General features: G+C 40.6%; 1 protein-coding gene and 1 pseudogene across 23 annotated transcripts in view; one reads left to right on the top strand and one right to left on the bottom strand.

The window, feature by feature from the left end:
- Positions 1-18,326, bottom strand: part of AXDND1 (axonemal dynein light chain domain containing 1) — a 189,031-nt gene that overhangs the window by 87,387 nt on the left and 83,318 nt on the right. The window contains exon 17 of one of the 23 annotated variants that reach the window (XM_047444817.1): positions 18,136-18,278. The exons of the other annotated variants lie outside the window; for them this stretch is intronic. Coding sequence (XP_047300773.1) covers positions 18,136-18,278 — 143 coding nt within the window. The remainder of the gene's footprint in view (positions 1-18,135; positions 18,279-18,326) is intronic. 23 annotated transcript variants of the gene reach the window in all.
- On the top strand, positions 9,951-11,429 carry HNRNPA1P54 (heterogeneous nuclear ribonucleoprotein A1 pseudogene 54; annotated as a pseudogene).

The following is an 18,326-nucleotide window of genomic DNA, read 5'->3' as shown; positions in this document are numbered from 1 at the left end:
GCTGACATGGATAAGTATTGCCATTTTATCAATAACTATATTATTGCTGCCATAGAAAATTAAATTGTGTTTTCCCATGTAGCTTTCATAGTGCAGTTTTAAATTGAACAATTGTGCCAGTCAATGGTTCAGGGTTGCCTCAGACACTTGCTGAGAAGGATTCTTAAGAAACACATGATGCACTGAGCAAAAATGTTTTAATGAATTTTTAATATCTTTCATGGATTTTGGAGGATGGAACTTCAATATCTTTCATGGAAATTTGGGATATTAAGTCACTCTACTCAGGGGTCGGGTGGTGGACAAAATTGAAGTACAGAATTTGCTAAGGAGTAGAGGTCCTGGTAACACCAGGATACTATTGGGACCCCTAATTCTCTGAAGCATTACATCTTAAGAATAACAGTGGAACAGAAATAGAACAGCCCTCAGAAAGCCCAAGGCCAGACTTCATTTCAGCTCAGTCCCTGCTTGGATTAAGGTGATCCGTGCCTGCACTAAATGACCTGCCAGAATAAAAAGTAAAATCCTTCTTATGTAATATAGTATCATCCAGAGTCTCAAATTATCTCTAAAACTCTTCACACACAATGTCCAACATTCAATCAGAAACAGAAATATGAAAAGAATGGACTCAAAACCAAGACAAAAATACAGAAAATAAAATAGAACTATAGGAGAACCAAATATTATCCAATCACCAGACATGGATTTTAAAATTAACTGTGACTACAACTTTCAAGTTATAAAATGACAAGATGGAAAATTTCAGCAGAGAACTAGAAACTCTAAAAGTTAATAAATTCTAGGACTGAAAAATATAATAATTAAAATTTTAAAATCAGTGGATGTTTACCAGAAAGTTAAACTAACACACTAAAGAAAAACACCGTCAAATTATAATTCTTAGAAAATAACCATTAAGGCCCAGCGCAGTGGCTCATGCCTATAATCCCAGCACTTTGAGAGGTCAAGGGGGAGGACTGCTTGAGCTTAGGAGTTCAAGACCAAGAGCAGCCTAGGCAACATAATTAGACCCCATCTCAAAAAAAAAAAAAAAAAAGAAGAAGAAGAAGAAAGAAAGAAAAGAAAAGAGGAGGTTCCAAGATGGCCGAATAGGAACAGCTCCAATCTACAGCTCCCAGCGTGAGCAATGCAGAACTCGGGTGATTTCTGAATTTCCAACTGAGGTATTGGGTTCATCTCACTGGGGCTCGTCTGACAGTGGGTGCAGCCCATGGAGTGTGAGCTGAAGCAGGGCGGGGCATTGCCTCACCCGGGAAGTGCAAGGGGTCAGGGACTTCCCTCTCCTAGCCAAGGGAAGCCATGAAAGACGGTACCTGGAAAATTGGGACACTCCCACCCTAATACTGCGCTTTTCCAATGGTCTTAGCAAACGGCACACCAGGAGATTATATCCCGCGCCTGGCTCAGAGGGTCCGACACCCACAGAGACTCACTCACTGCTAGCACAACAGTCTGAGATCAAACTGCAAGGTGGCAGCGAGGCTGGGGGAGGGGCGTCCGCCATTGCTAAGGCTTGAGTAGGTAAACAAAGCGGCCAGGAAGGTCGAATTGGGTGGAGCCCACCACAGCTCAAGGAGGCCCACCTGCCTCTGCAGACTCCATCTCTGGGGGCAGGGCATAGCTGAACAAAAGGCAGCAGAAACTTCTGCAGACTTAAACATCCCTGGCTGACAGCTTTGAAGCAAGTAGTGGTTCTCCCAGCACAGAGTTTGAGATCTGAGAACAGACAGACTGTCTCCTCAAGTGGGTCCATGACCCCCGAGTAGCCTAACTGGGAGACACCTCCCAGTAGGGGCCAACTGACACCTCATACGGCCAGGTGCCCCTCTGAGACGAGGCTTCCAGAGAAAGGATCAGGCAGAAACATTTGCCATTCTGCAATATTTGCTGTTCTGCAGCCTCCGCTGGTGATACCCAGGCAAACAGGGTCTGGAGTGGACCTCCAGCAAACTCCAACAGACCTGCAGCTGAGGGTCCTGACTGTTAGAAGGAAAACTAACAAACAGAAAGGACATCCACAACAAAACCACATCTGTACGTCACCATCAACAAAGATCAAAGGTAGATAAAACCACAAAGGGGGAGAAACCAGAGTAGAGAAGCTGAAAATTCTAAAAATCAGAGCATCTCTTCTCCTCCAAAGGCACACAGCTCCTCAACAGCAACGGAACAAACCTGGATGGAGAATGACTTTGATGAGTTGAGAGAAGAAGGCTTCAGATGATCAGTAATAACAAATTTCTCTGAGCTAAAGGAGGATGTTCAAACCCATTGCAAAGAAGCTAAAAACCTTGAAAAAAAGATTAGATGAATGGCTAACTAAAATAAACAGTGTACAGAAGACCTTAAGTGACCTGATGGAGCTGAAAACCATGGCATAAGAACTACGTGATGCATGCAGAAGCTTCAGTAGCTGATTTGATCAAGTGGAAGAAAGAGTATCAGTGATTGAAGATCGAATGAATGAAATGAAGCAAAAAGAGAAGTTTAGAGAAAAAAGAGTAAAAAGAAACAAACAAAGCCTCCAAGAAATATGCGACTATGTGAAAAGACCAAATCTACGTCTATTGGTGTATCTGAAAGTGACAGGGAGAATGGAACCAAGTTGGAAAACACTCTTCAGGATATTATCCAGGAGAACTTCCCCAACCTAGCAAGGCAGGCCAACATTCAAATTCAGGAAATACAGAGAATGCCACAAAGATACTCCTCGAGAAGAGCAACTCCAAAACACATAATTGTCAGATTCACCAAAGTTGAAATGAAGGAAAAAATGTTAAGGGCAGCCACAGAGAAAAGTCGGGTTACTCACAAAGGGAAGTCCATCAGATTAAAAGCGGATCTCTTGGCAGAAGCTCTACAAGCCAGAAGAGAGTGGGGGCCAATATTCAACATTCTTAAAGAAAAGAATTTTCAACCCAGAATTTCATATCCAGTAAAACTAAGCTTCATAAGTGAAGGAGAAATAAAATCCTTTACAGACAAGCAAATGCTGAGAGATTTTATCACCACCAGGCCTGCCTTACAAGAGCTCCTGAAGGAAGCACTAAACATGGAAAGGAACAACTGGCACCAGCCACTGCAAAAACATGCCAAATTGTAACGACCATTGATGCTAGGAAGAAACTGCATCAACTAACGAGCAAAATAACCAGCTAACAGCATAATGACAGGATCAAATTCACACATAATATTAACCTTAAATGTAAATGGGCTAAATGCCCCAATTAAAAGACACAGACTGGCAAATTGGATAAAGAGTCAAGACCCATCAGTGTGCTGTATTCAGGAGACCAATCTCATGTTCAGAGACACACATAGGCTCAAAATAAAGGGATGGAGGAAGAACTACCAAGCAAATGGGAAAAAAAACAGCAGAGGTTGCAATCCTAGTCTCTGATAAAACAGACTTTAAACCAACAAAGATCAAAAGAGACAAAGAAGGCCATTACATAATGGTAAAGGGATCAATTCAACAAGAAGAGCTAACTATCCTAAATATATATGCACCCAATACAGGAGCACCCAGATTCATAAAGCAAGTCCTTAGAGACCTACAAAGAGACTTAGACTCCCACACAATAATAATGGGAGACTTTAACACCCCACTGTCAACAGTAGACAGATCAAGGAGACAGAAAGTTAACAAGGATATCCAGGAATTGAATTCAGCTCTGCAACAAGCAGACCTAACTGACATCTACAGAACTCTCCACCCCAAATCAACAGAATATACATTCTTCTTAGCATCACATCGCACTTATTCCAAAATTGACCACATAGTTGGAAGTAAAGCTCTCCTCAGTAAATGAAAAAGAATAGAAATTATAACAAACTGTCTCTCAGACCACAGTGCAATCAAACTAGAACTCAGGATTAAGAAACTCACTCAAAACTGCTCAACCACATGGAAACTGAACAACCTGCTCCTGAATGACTACTGGGTACATAATGAAATGAAAGCAGAAATAAAGATGCTCTTCGAAACCAATGAGAACAAAGACACAACATACCAGAATCTCTGGAACACATTTAAAGCAGTGTGTAGAGGGAAATTTATAGCACTAAATGCCCACAACAGAAAGCAGGAAAGATATAAAATTGACACTCTAACATCACAATTAAAAGAACTAGAGAAGCAAGAGCAAACACATTCAAAAGCTAGCAGAAGGCAAGAAATAACTAACATCAGAGCAGAACTGAGGAGATAGAGACACAAAAAACCCTTCAGAAAATAAATGAATCCAGGAACTGGTTTTTTGAAAAGATTAACAAAATTGATAGACTGCTAGCAAGACTAATAAAGAAAAGAGAGAAGAATCAAATAGATGCAATAAAAAATGATAAAGGGGATATCACCACTGATCCCACAGAAATACAAACTACCATCAGAGAATACTATAAACACCTCTACGCAAATAAACTAGAAAATCTAGAAGAAATGGATAAATTCCTGGACACATACACCCTCCCAAGAGTAAACCAGGAAGAATTTGAATCCCTGACTAGACCAATAATGGGTTCTGAAATTGAGGCAATAATTAATAGCCTACCAACTGAAAAAAACAGGAAGAAGTTGAATCCCTGAATAGACCAATAAATAACAGGTTCTGAAATTGAGGCAATAATTAATAGCTTACCAACCAGGACCAGACAGATTCACAGCCAAATTCTACCAGAGGTACAAAGAGGAGCTGGTACCATTCCTTCTGAAACTATTCCAATCAATAGAAAAAGAGGGAATCCGCCCTAACTCATTTTATGAGGCCAGAATCATCCTGATACCAAAGCCTGGCAGAGACACAACAAAAAAAAGAGAATTTTAGACCAATATCCCTGATAACATCGATGCAAAAATCCTCAATAAAATACTGGCAAACCGAATCCAGCAGCACATCAAAAAGCTTATCCACCACGATGAAGCTGGCTTCATCCCTGGGATTCAAGGCTGGCTCAACATATGAAAATCGATAAATGTAATCCAGCATATAAACAGAACCAAAGACAAAAACTATATGATTATCTCAATAGATGCAGAAAAGGCCTTTGACAAAATTCAGCAGCCCTTCATGTTAAAAACTCTCAATAAACTAGCTATTGATAGGATGTATCTCAAAATAATAAGAGCTATTTATGACAAACCCACAGCCAATAACATACTGAATGGGCAAAAACAGGAAGCATTCCCTTTGAAAACTGGCACAAGACAAGGATGCCCTCTCTCACCACTCCTATTCAACATAATGTTGGAAATTATGGCCAGGGCAATCAGGCAGGAGAAAGAAATAAAGGGTATTCAATTAGGAAAAGAGGAAGTCAAATTGTCCCTGTTTGCAGATGACATGATTGTATATTTAGAAAACCTCATTGTCTCAGCCCAAAATCTCCTTAAGCTGATCAGCAACTTCAGCAAAGTCTCAGGATACAAAATCAATGTGCAAAAATCACAAGCATTACTATACACCAATAACAAACAGAGCCAAATCATGAGTGAACTCCCACTCACAATTGCTTCAAAGAGAATAAAGTACCTAGGAATCCAACTTACAAGGGGTGTGAAGGACCTCTTCAAGGAAAACTACAAACCTCTGCTCAACAAAATAAAAGAGGACACAGACAAACGGCAGAACACTCCATGTTCATGGATAGGAAGAATCAATATCGTGAAAATGGCCATACTGCCCAAGGTAATTTATAGATTCAATGCCATCCCCATCAAGCTACCAATGACTTTCTTCACAGAATTGGAAAAAACTACTTTAAAGTTCATATGGAACCAAAAAATAGCCCACATTGCCAAGACAATCCTAAGCAAAATGAACAAAGCTGGAGGCATCATGCTACCTGACTTCGAACTATACTACAAGGCTACAGTAACCAAAACAGCATGGTATTGCTATCAAAACAGATATATAGACCAATGGAACAGGACAGAGCCCTCAGAAATAATACCACACATCTACAACCATCTGATCTTTAAGAAACCTGACAAAAACAAGAAATGGGGAAAGGATTCCCTATTTAATAAATGGTGCTGGGAAAACTGACTAGCCATATGTAGAAACCTGAAACTGGATCCCTTCCTTACACCTTATACAAAATTAATTCAAGATGGATTAAAGACTTAAATGTTAGACCTAAAACCATAAAAACCCTAGAAGAAAACCTAGGCAATACCATTCAGGACATAGGCATGGGCAAGAACTTCATGACTAAAACACCAAAAGCAATGGCAACAAAAGCCAAAATTGACAAATGAGATCTAATTAAACTAAAGAGCTTCTGCACAGCAAAAGAAACTACCATCAGAGTGAACAAGCAACCTACAGAATGGGAGAAAATTTTTAGAATCTACCCATCTGACAAAGGGCTAATATTCAGAGTCCACAAAGAACTTAAACAAATTTACAAGAAAAAAACAAACAACCCCATCAACAAGTGGGCGAAGGATATGAACAGACACTTGTCAAAAGAATACATTTATGCAGCCAACAGACACATGAAAAAATGCTCATCATCAGTGGTCATCAGAGAAATGCAAATCAAAACCACAATGAGATACCATCTCACACCAGTTAGAATGGTGATCATTAAAAAGTCAGGAAAACAACAGGTGCTGGAGAGGATGTGGAGAAATAGGAACACTTTTACACTGTTGTTGGGACTGTAAACTAGTTCAACCGTTGTGGAAGACAGTGTGGCGATTCCTCAAGGATCTACAACTAGAAATACCATTTGATCCAGCCATTCCATTGCTGGGTATATACCCAAAGGATTATAAATCATGCTGCTATAAAGACACATGCACACCTACGTTTATTGTGGCACTATTCACAATAGCAAAGACTTGGAACTAACCCAAATGTCCATCAGTGATAGACTGGGGATTAAGAAAATGTGGCATATATACACCATGGAATACTATGCAGCCCAGCCATAAAAAAGGATGAGTTCATGTCCTTTGTAGGGACATGGATGAAGCTGGAAACCATCATTCTCAGCAAACTATCACAAGGACAGAAAACCAAACACCGCATCTTCTCACTCATATGTGAGAATTGAACAATGAGGACACTTGGACACAGGGTGGGGAACATCACATACCGAGGCCTGTCGTGGGGTGGGGGGAGGTGGGAGCGAGAGCATTAGGAGATACACCTAATGTAAATGATGAGTTAATGGGTGCAGCACACCAACATGGCACATGTATACACATGTAACAAACCTGCACGTTGTGCACATGTACCCTAGAACTTAAAGGATAAGAATAATAATAAAGAAAATAAAAGAAATGAAAGAAGGAAGGAAGGAGAGGAAGGAAGGAAGGAAGGAAAGAAAGAAAGAAAAAGAAAGAAAGAAAGAAGGAAGAAAAGAAAAGAGAGAGAGAAGGAAGGAAGGAAAGAGAGAAAGAAAAGGAATGAAAGAAAGAAAAGAAAAGAGAAAAGAAAAGAAAGGAAGGAAAGAAAGGAAGGAAGGAAGGGAAAGAAAAGAAAAGAAAAAGAGAAGGAAGGAAGGAAAGAAAGAGAGAGAGAAAGAAAATAAAGAAAAAGAAAAGAGAAAAGAAAAGAAAGGAAGGAAGGAAAAAAGGAAGGAAGGAAAGAAAGAAAAAGAAAGAAAGGAAAGAAAGAAAGAAAAGAAAAGAAGAGAAAAGAAAGCAAGCCTTTAAACAAAAAGTAATCAGCAGACCCACCACTATAGAAAATACCAAAGACATTTCTTCAAGGAAAAAGAAAATTATTCCAGAAAGCAAATGCAAACGTAGGAAGGGAGCAATATGAGAATAAAAAGATCTTACTCTACAAATTCACAAAAGGGAAAGATCAGTTATTCTTTGGCCATAGACTCAAGCCTTAAACAAGTAATCACAAAATCAATTTTAAACTTTTTCATGAGCATTTATTTTGATTATATAAACATTATCTTATCCTATGTATTAATTTTAGAAGAATTATATTATGAAAATGTATTATATTACATATATAATTTTCTTCCTATAGAACCTATGTCTTTTAAACAACTAAATGTATTCTAGCCAGGCATAGTGGCATGCACCTGTAGTCCCAGCTACTCAGGAGGCTGAGGCAGGAGGATTGTTTGAACCCAGGAGTTCAAGGCCATTATTCGGCCTGGACATTATAGGTAAGTACTTCCTTTAAAGAATGTATTCTTGAGGTGATAAAAACTAATGGCTTGGAAGTATTTTTCCCATTCTCATTTTTAGGTCCTTTATTGCTTAAGTAGAGAAAAACAATTTACTTTTATTTATTTAATTCTGATTCAGTCTCCTCACCAAACTGTCTTACTGATTTTAATCTTTTTTTCCTATAGTTCCAGATTTTCTAAGTATATAACTATAATATCAGCACAAAGAAATATTTTATCTTCTCTTTTTCAATATTCATATCTGTTATTTTACTTTATTCTATTATTTTATTTTCTAGAACCACCAAAAAAAAAATAAAAATGTTGATATCAAGCATCCTCATCTATTTTGTTAGGTTAATTATAAAGTTTAAGTGTTTTTCCATTCATGGTATTACTATTGGTTTTTTATTTGTTTTAGTATTATATTTATGTAGTTTTTTTCTAGGGATATTTAATTTAGACTTTTTCTTGAGAATATGCTGTATTTTAACAAAACAATTGCAGCATCTCTTATATGATCACACAGTTTTTTCTCTTAATATTTTTATGAAATGTATTATGCTGATCAATTTCCTAATGTTGAATCGCTCATGCATTCCTGGAATATATTCTACTTGGTTAAAATGTTTTGCTTTTAATCTTTGCTAAGCTATAATAATAATTATTATTTTATTTAGAACGTTTGCACCTACTGTCATAAATAACAGAAAATTGATGGGTTTATTTGTACTATATTTATTGTGTTTTGACATTATGGTTTTCTGGGTTCATAAACAATTTGGAGGATTTTCCATATTGTTCTAAGGCTTCGAATTATTTAAGAATCTTAAAATTATATGTTCTTTAAAGTTTAAATAAAACTTAGCTATGAAGCTAGGAATAAAAAAGAAAATCGGCCTGGTGTGGTGGCTCACTCCTGTAATCTCAGCACTTTGGGAGGCCAAGGTGGGTGAATGACTTGAGCCCAAGAGTTTGAGACCAGCCTGGACAATATGATGAAACCCAATCTCTACAAAAAAATTAGCCAGGAGTCACAGCATGCACCTGTAGTCCCAGCTACCTGAGAGGCTGAGGTGGGAGGATCACTTGAGCATGGCAGTTTGAGGCTGCTGTGAGCCATGATCATACCACTACACTCAGGCCTCAGCAACAGAGTAAGACTGTCTCAAAAAAAGAAAAAAAAAAAGAGAAGGAAAGAAAAGAAAAGAAAAAAGAGAAAATCAGCCCATGATATTTCCTCACTTCAGAATGTCAGCCAGTTAGCAACAATCCTATTCTAGTTACCACATGCCTGAAAGTCAATCAAGTAACAACAGCCTCACTCCAAATACAAGGTATCCATGGCTGAAAGTAAAACGATCTCTAAATACTCTTTTTTCTTAAAGTTTTTCAGTCTTGGAATTCCATGCTTCTGTGTGAATATCTCTTGCTTTGTTCAGAGAGGTTGTACATTGTATTACAGGGCTCCCTTCCTTAACAAGCAAAAATTCAGCTTTTTTATGGTTATTGTATTTGAATACTTGTATCTTTCTTAGACGAACTGAAAATATGAATATGTGGATAAATCTAAATGAATACTGGCTATATGAAATACGAATAATAATGTCTTGTGAGATTTAAGTATGTAAAAAGAACTGAAACACAAACAAAAATAACACAAAGTATGGGGGAAGCTAAACTAAGAACAAAATAAATTTTGAAATGTTTGGAAAGTAAATACTACATCTTCTAAATAATCCTGAGTCAAAAGACAAACCACAATGGAAATTTAAAACTGTCTTGCCTTTCTGCCCCTGGACGCCGCCGAAGAAGCATCATTAAAGTCTCTCTTCTCCCGGCCGTCTTGTCTAACTCAGAGTCTCCTAAAGAGCCCAAACAGTTGAGGAAGCTCTTCCTTGGACGGTTGAGCTTAGAAACAAGCAACGAGAGCCTGAGAAGCCATTTTGAGCAATGAGGAATGCTCATGGACTGTGTGGTAATGAGATCCAAATACCAAGCACTCCAGGGGCTTTGGGTTTGTCTCACATGCCACTGCGGAGAAGGTGGATGCAGCCATGAATGCAAGGCCACAAAAGGTGGATGGAAGAGTTGTGGAACCAAAGAGAGCTGTCTCAAGAGAAGATTCTCAAAGACCAGGTGCCCACTTAACTGTGAAAAAGATATTTGTTGGTGGCATTAAAGAAGACACTGAAGAACATCACCTAAGAGATTATTTTGAACAGTATGGAAAAAATGAAGTGATTGAAATCATGACTGAGGCAGTGGCAAGAAAAGAGGCTTTGCCTTTGTAACCTTTGACAATCATAACTCCATGGATAAAACTGTCATTCAGAAATAGCATACTGTGAATGGCCACAACTGTGAAGTTAGGAAAGCCCTGTCAGACCAAGAGATGGCTAGGGCTTCATCCAGCCAAAGAGGTCAAAGTAGTTCTGGAAACTTTGGTGGTGGTCATGGAGGTGGTTTCAGTGGGAATGACAACTTTGGTCACGGAGGAAACTTCAGTGGTCATGATGGCTTTGGTGGCAGCTGTGGTGGTGATGGATATGGTGGCAGTGGGGATGGCTATAATGGGTTTGGTAATGATGGTGGTTATGGAGGAGGTGGCCCTGGTTACTCCGGAGGAAGCAGAGGCTATGGAAGTGTTGGACAGGGTTATGGAAGCCAGGGCAGTGGCTATGGTGGGAGTGGCAGCTATAATAGCTATAACAACGGAGGTGGAGGCAGCTTTGGTGGTGGTAGTGGAAGCAGTTTTGGAGGTAGTGGAAGCTACAATGATTTTGGCAATTACAACAATCAGTCTTCAAATTTTGGACCCACGAAGGGAGGAAACTTTGGAGGCAGAAGTTCTGTCCCCTGTGGTGGTGGAGGCCAATACTTCGTCAAACCACAAAACCAAGGTGGCTATGGAGGTTCCAGTAGCAGCAGTAGCTATGACAGTGGCAGATTTTAATTAGGAAACAAAGCTTAGCAGGAGAGGAGATCCAGAGAAGTGACAGGGAAGCTACAGGTTACAACAGATTTGTGAACTCAGCCAAGCACAGTGGTAGCAGGGCCTAGGTGCTACAAAGAAGACATATTTTAGACAAATACTGATGAGTATGGGCAAAAAACTCGAGGACTGTTATTTGTGACTAACTCTATAACAGGTTATTTTAGTTTGTGTTCTGTGAAAAGTGTAAAGCATTCCAACAAAGGGTTTTAATGTAGTTTTTTTTTTTTGGCACCCATGCTGTTGATTGCTAAATGTAATAGTCTGATTGTGATGCTGAATAAATGTCTTTAAAAACAAAACAAAACAAAACAAACTATGTCTTAAACTAAATAATAAAAATTATGCAAAACATGGGATGCAGCCAAAGCTGGCTTCTTATGACTCAATTCTATTGGGTTTCCTCCTACTTCTATTGTCCTACTATCTCTCGTTACCCTTTAAAATGTTGGGGATCCATTCTTAGTCCTTAGTTATTCCCATTGTATATTTCCCCCCCAAGGTGATCTCATCAAAATTCATGGCTTTAACTAACACATATACTAGTATCTTCCAAAATTTTTTTTTTAATTTTTTTTTTTTTTTTTTTTTGAGACGGAGTCTCACTCTGTCGCCCAGGCTGGAGTACAGTGGCGCGATCTCAGCTCACTGCAAGCTCTGCGTCCCGGCTTCACGCCATTCTCCTGCCTCAGCCTCCAGAGTAGCTGGGACTACAGGCGCCCACCACCAAGCCCGGCTAATTTTTTTTGTATTTGTAGTAGAGACGGAATTTCACGGTGTTAGCCAGGATGGTCTTGATCTCCTGACCTCGTGATCCGCCCACCTCGGCCTCTCAAAGTGCTGGGATTACAGGCGTGAGCCACCGCACCCAGCCTCTTTTTTTTTTTTTACTTTTTTTTTTTTTTTTTTTGAAACAGAGTCTCACTCTCTCCCCTAGGCTGGGGTGCAAGGGTGCAATCTCTGCTCACTGCAAACTCTGCCTCCCGGGTTCAAGCGATTCTCCCGCCTCAGCCTCCTGAATAGTGGGGATTACAGGCATGTGCCACCATGACCAGCGCTAATTTTTTTCTTTTTTCTTTTTTTTTTTTTGAGACGGAGTCTCATTCTGTCGCCCAGGCGGGAGTGCAGTGGCACGATCTCCGCTCACTGCAAACTCCACCTCCTGGGTTCACGCCATTCTCCTGCCTCAGCTTCCAGAGTAGCTGGGACTACAGGCGCCTGCCACCACGCCCGGCTAAGTTTTTTGTATTTTTGGTAGAGATGGGATTTCACCATGTTAGCCAAGATGGTCTCAAACCACTGACCTCAGGTGACCCACCTGCCTCGGCCTCCCAAAGTGCTAGAATTATAGGTTTGAGCCACCGTGCCTGGCGTCTTCCAAAATTTCATCCAAGATTTTTCTCCCACATTCCTGACATGCCTGTTGAACAAGTCCACTTAATTGTGCCATAGCTACTCGAAAGTCAGTATGTCTAATACTAAATACACAATCTCCCTTCCCCATACTTTTCCTTCTCCTGTATTCTCTAATCTTAATAAATTGGATGACCCATTTACAGTCCAATCAGGAACACAGCCATCCCACAATACTCTCTCTCACACACACAATTGTGTAGCCTACATTTTTTAAATCTCTTATTTTTCTTTCCTCTTCTCCATTCCCATGTCTTAGGATAGGTCCTCATCATTTCTCAACTTATTCCTGTAGTAGATTCCTGTATTAGTCCATTTTCATGCTGCTAATAAAGACATACCCGAGACTGGGCAATTCACAGAAGAAAGAGGTTTAATGGACTTACAGTTCCACGTGGCTGTGGAGGCCTCACAACCATAGCAGAAGGTGAAAGGCATGTCTCACATGGAGGTAGACAAGAGAAGAAAGCTTGTGTAGGGAAACACCCCATTATAAAACCATCAGATCTCATGAGACTTATTCCCTACCATGAGAACAGCATGGGAAAGACCTGCTCCCATGATTCAATTACCTCCCACTGGGTCCCTCCCACAACACATGGGAATTCAAGATGAGATCTGGGTGGGGACACAGCCAAACCATATCATTCTGTCCCTGGCCCCTCCCAAATCTCCACACTTCAAAACCAACCATGCCTTCCCAACAGTCCCCCCAAAGTCTTAATTCATTTCAGCATTAACTTAAAAGTCCACATTCCAAAGTCTCATCTGAAACAAGACCAGTCCTTTCTGCCTATGAGCCTGTAAAATCAAAAGCAAGTTAGTCACTTCCTAGACACGAAGGGGGTACAGGCATTGGGTAAATACAGGCATTCTAAATGGGAGAAATTGGCCAAAACAAAGGGCCTACAAGCCCCATGCAAATCCAAAATCTAGCAGGAGAGTCCATTTTTTTTTTTTTTTTTTTTTTTGAGACAGAGATTTGCTCTTCTTGCCCAGGCTGGAGTGCAACGGTGCGATCTTGGCTCACTGCAACCTCTGCCTCCCAGGTTCAAGTGACTCTCCTGCCTCGGCCTCCTGAGTAGCTGAAACTACAGGTGCATGCCACCACGACTGGCTAATTTTGTACTTTTAGTAGAGATAGAGTTTCACCATGTTGGCCAGGCTGGTCTCAAACTCCTGACCTCAGGTGATCCGCCTGCCTCAGCCTCCCAAAGTGCTGGGATTACAGGCATGAGCCACTGTGCCTGGACAGCAGTCAAATCTTAAAGGTCCAAAATGACCTTCTTTGACTCCACGTGTCACATCCAGGTCATGCTGATGCAAGAGATGGGCTCCCATGGTCTTGGGCAGCTCCACCCCTGTGGTTTTGTGCGGTACAGCCTCCCGGCTGCTTTCATGGTCTGGCAATGAGTGTCTGTGGCTTTTCCAGGTGCATGGTGAAAACTGTTGGTGGATCTACCATTCTGGGGTCTGGAGGACAGTGGCCCTCTTCTCATAACTCCACTAGGCTGTGCCCCAGTAGAGACTCTGTGTGGGGTCTCTGACCCCACATTTCCCTGCTGCACTTCCCTAGCAGAGGTTTTCCATGAGGGCCCTGCCCCTGCAGCAAACTTCTGCCTGGGCATCCAGGCGTTTCCATACATCCTCTGAAATCTGGGTGGAGGTTCCCAAACCCCAGTTCTTGACTTCTGTACACCCGCAGGTTCAATACCACATGGAAGCTGCCAAGGCTTGAGGCTTGCACCCTCTGAAGCCACAGCCTGAGCTCTATGTTGGCCCCTTTCAGCCACAGCTAGAGCAGCTGGGACACAGGGCACCAAATCCCTAGGCTACTCACAGCATGGGGACCCTGGACCCAGCCCACGAAACCATTTTTACCTCCTAGGCCTCCAGGCTTATGATGGGAAGGGGCTGCCATGAAGACCTATGACATGCCCTGAAGACATTTTCCCCATGGTCTCGGGGGATTAACAGTTGGCTCCCCATTACTTAAGTAAATTTCTGCAGCCAGCTTGACTTTCTCCTCAGAAAATGGGATTTTCTTTTCTTTTTTTTTTTTTTTTTTTTTTTTTTTGAGACGGAGTCTCGCTCTGTCGCCCAGGCCGGACTGCGGACTGCAGTGGCGCAATCTCGGCTCACTGCAAGCTCCGCTTCCCGGGTTCACGCCATTCTCCTGCCTCAGCCTCCCGAGTAGCTGGGACTACAGGCGCCCGCCACCGCGCCCGGCTAATTTTTTGTATTTTTAGTAGAGACGGGGTTTCACCTTGTTAGCCAGGATGGTCTCGATCTCCCGACCTCATGATCCACCCGCCTCGGCCTCCCAAAGTGCTGGGATTACAGGCGTGAGCCACCGCGCCCGGCGGGATTTTCTTTTCTATCGCATTGTCAGGCTGCAAATTTTACAAACTTTTATGCTCTGTTTCCCTTTTAAAACTGAATGCCTTTAACAGCACTCAAGTCACCTCTTGAATGCTTTGTTGCTTAGAAATTTATTCTGCCAGATACCCTAAATCATCTCTCTCAAGTTCAAAGTTCCACAAATCTCTAGGATGGGGCAAAATGCTGCCAGTCCCTTTGCTAAAATATAACAAGAGTCACCTTTGCTCCAGTTCCCAAGAAGTTCCTCATCTCCATCTGAGACCACCTTAGCCTGGATTTCATTGTCCATATCATTATTAGCATCTTGTTCAAAGCCATTCAACAAGTCTCTAGGGAGTTTCAAACTTTCCCACATTTTCCTGTCTTCTTCTAAGCCCTCCAAACCATTTCAACTTCTGCCTGTTACCCAGTTCCAAAGTCGCTTCCACATTTTCAGGTATCTTTTCAGCAGCACCCTACTCTACTGGTACCAATTTACTGTATTAGTCCATTTTCATTCTGCTGATAAAGACATACTCAAGACTGAATAATTTATATGGGAAAAGGGGTTTATTGGACTTATAGTTCCATGCGGCTGGGGAAGCCTCATAATCATGGTGGAAGGCAAGGAGGAGCAAGTCACATCTTAAGTGTATGGCAGCAGGCAAAGAGAGAGCTTGTGCAGGGAAACTCTACCTTATAAAGCCATCAGATCTTGTGAGACTTATTCACTATCATGAGAACAGCATGGGAAAGACCTGGCCTCATGATTCAATTATCTCCCAATGGGTCCCTCCCACAACATGTGGAAATTCAAGATGAGATTTGGGTGGGGACACAGCCAAGCCATATCAGTGAAAATTAATAGAGAATAGAAAAACAATATAGAAAATCAAGAAATCCAAAAGCTGGTTCTTTGAAAAGATCCACAAAATTGATAAACCTTTAGCTAGTTTGACCAAGAAAAAATTAAGACTCAAATTATTAGAATCAGAAACTTAAAAGTTGTAGGGCATTACTACCAACTGTGGAGAAATAAAAAGGATTATAAAGTGGACGATTTTTTTTTTTTTTGAAATATACGGACAACCAAAACTGAATCAAAACAAACCAAGAAAAAAAAGACAATATAGATAGACCTCTTAAAGAGCAGGTTAAGTCCGTAATCAAAAACCCACCTATGAAGCTAAGCCCAGGCCCAGATGGCTTTACCACTAAATATTATCAAGCATTCAAAAAGAATTAGCACCAGTTCTTTACAAACTCTTCCAAAATAACAGAAAAGGAGGAAAATCTTCCCAGCCCATTTCATGAATCCAGTATTATGCTGACACCAAAACCAGATAAAGATATCACAAGAAAGAAAAGCTACAGATAAATATATCTTATAACTATAGATGCAAACTCCTCAACCAAATACCTGCAAACCAAAGCTAGAAACATATAAAAAGAATTATATACCATGATCAAGTAGGTTACGTTTTTTTGAGACAGTGTCTCTCTCTGTCACCCAGGCTGGAGTAAAGTGGTGTGGCTATACCTCACTGCAGCCTCTAACTCCTGGGCTCAAGGCATCCTCCTGCCTCAGCCTTCTGAGTAGCTATGTAGCTATGTGTACAGGATCTCACTATGTTGCCCAGGCTGTCTCGAATTCCTGGCTTCAAGTAATCCTCCTGCCTTGGCCTCCCAAAGCATTGAGATTACAGGCATGACCCATCACTCCCAGCCCGAAGTAGGATTGATCCTAGGCAAGGAAGATTGGATTAATATCCAAAAATCAATGTAATATATCCTACTGATAGAATAAAAGACAAAAGACACACAATTATCTCAATGAATACAGAGAAAGCATTTTTAAAAAAAAATCCCACACATTTTCATGTAAAAGAATTCAATAGGAATAGAACAGAATTTCCTAAACCTGATAAAAAGCATCTATGAAAAACCCACAGCTAACATCACACTTAATCGGCAAAGACTCATGCTTTCCTACTAAGGACAAGAATAAGACAAGAATATCTACTCCCACCATTTCTGTTCAACATTGTACTGGAGGTTCTTGCCAGGGCGATTAGGCCAGAAAAATAAATACAAGAATCCAGGCCACCATGGCTCACGCCTATAATCCCAGCACTTTGGGAGGCTGAGATGGGTGGATCACAAGGTCAGGAGTTCGAGACCAGCCTGGCCAACATGGTGAAACCCCATCTCTACTAAAAATACAAAAATTAGCCTGGCATGTGGCAGATGCCTGTAATCCCAGCTACTGGCAGATGCCTGTAATCAAGCTGGGGCAGGAGAATCGCTTGAACCCAGGCAGCAGAGGTTGCAGTGAGCTGAGATCGCACCACTGCACTCTAGCCTGGGCAGTAGAGCAACACTCTGTCTCAAAAAAAAAAAAAAAAAAAAAAAAAAAAAAAAATCCAGATTGGCAAGAAACTAGTAAAACCCTCTCTTCACTATAACATGATCTCATAAACAGAAAATCCTAAGTCGTCCACTAAAAAACCAGAAACTATTAGAACTAATAAATGAGTTCAGCAACATGGCAGTATGTAAGATCAATATACAAAATCAATTCTATTTCTATACACTTTAAGTGAAAAATCTGAAAATAGAACTGAGAAAAAATCTTCATTCACATCATCTAGAAGAATAACATACTCAAAAAAATATTTAACAAAAGAAATATAAAACTCCTCAGAAAACTATAAAACATTGTTAAGAGAAATTGAAAAATATCTAAATAATTGAAAAAAAATCCATGTTTATAGATTGGAAGACTTAACATTGTTAAGATGGCGATACTCCCCAAACAAATCTACAGATGCAACATAATCCCTATCAGAAGCTGATTTCTTCATAGAAATTGATAAGCTGATTATAAAATTCATATAGAATTTCAAGAGATGCAGAATAGCCAAAACAATCATGAAAAAGAATAAAGTAGGAGGACTCATACTTCTCGATTTTGAAACTTGCTTTAAAGCAAGAGTAATCAAGACAATGTGGCACAAGGACAAACATACACATGAGTAGAATAGGCTTAAGACTACAAAATAAGCCCAGAGATCTCTGGTTAACTGATTTTTGACAAGGATGCCAAGACTATTAAATGGAGGAAGAATGTTATTTTCAATAAATGGTGCTAGGACAACTGAACATCCACATGCAAAAGAATGAAATTAGAGCCTTACCTCACACACTATATAAAAATTAACCCAAGGCCAGGTGCGGTGGATTATGCCTCTAATTCCAGCACTTTGGGGGGCTGAAGTGGGATGATCGCTTGAACCCAGAAGTTTGAGACCAGCCTGTGCAACACGGTGAGATCCTGTCTCTACAAAAAATAAAAAAATTAGTCAACAGTGGTGGCACACACCTGTAG

Source organism: Homo sapiens, chromosome 1 (genome assembly GCF_000001405.40).
Source record: "Homo sapiens chromosome 1, GRCh38.p14 Primary Assembly".
NCBI lineage: Eukaryota > Metazoa > Chordata > Mammalia > Primates > Hominidae > Homo > Homo sapiens.
Note: the sequence above shows the minus strand (reverse complement) of the source record. Positions and strands in the feature narration are given on the sequence as shown.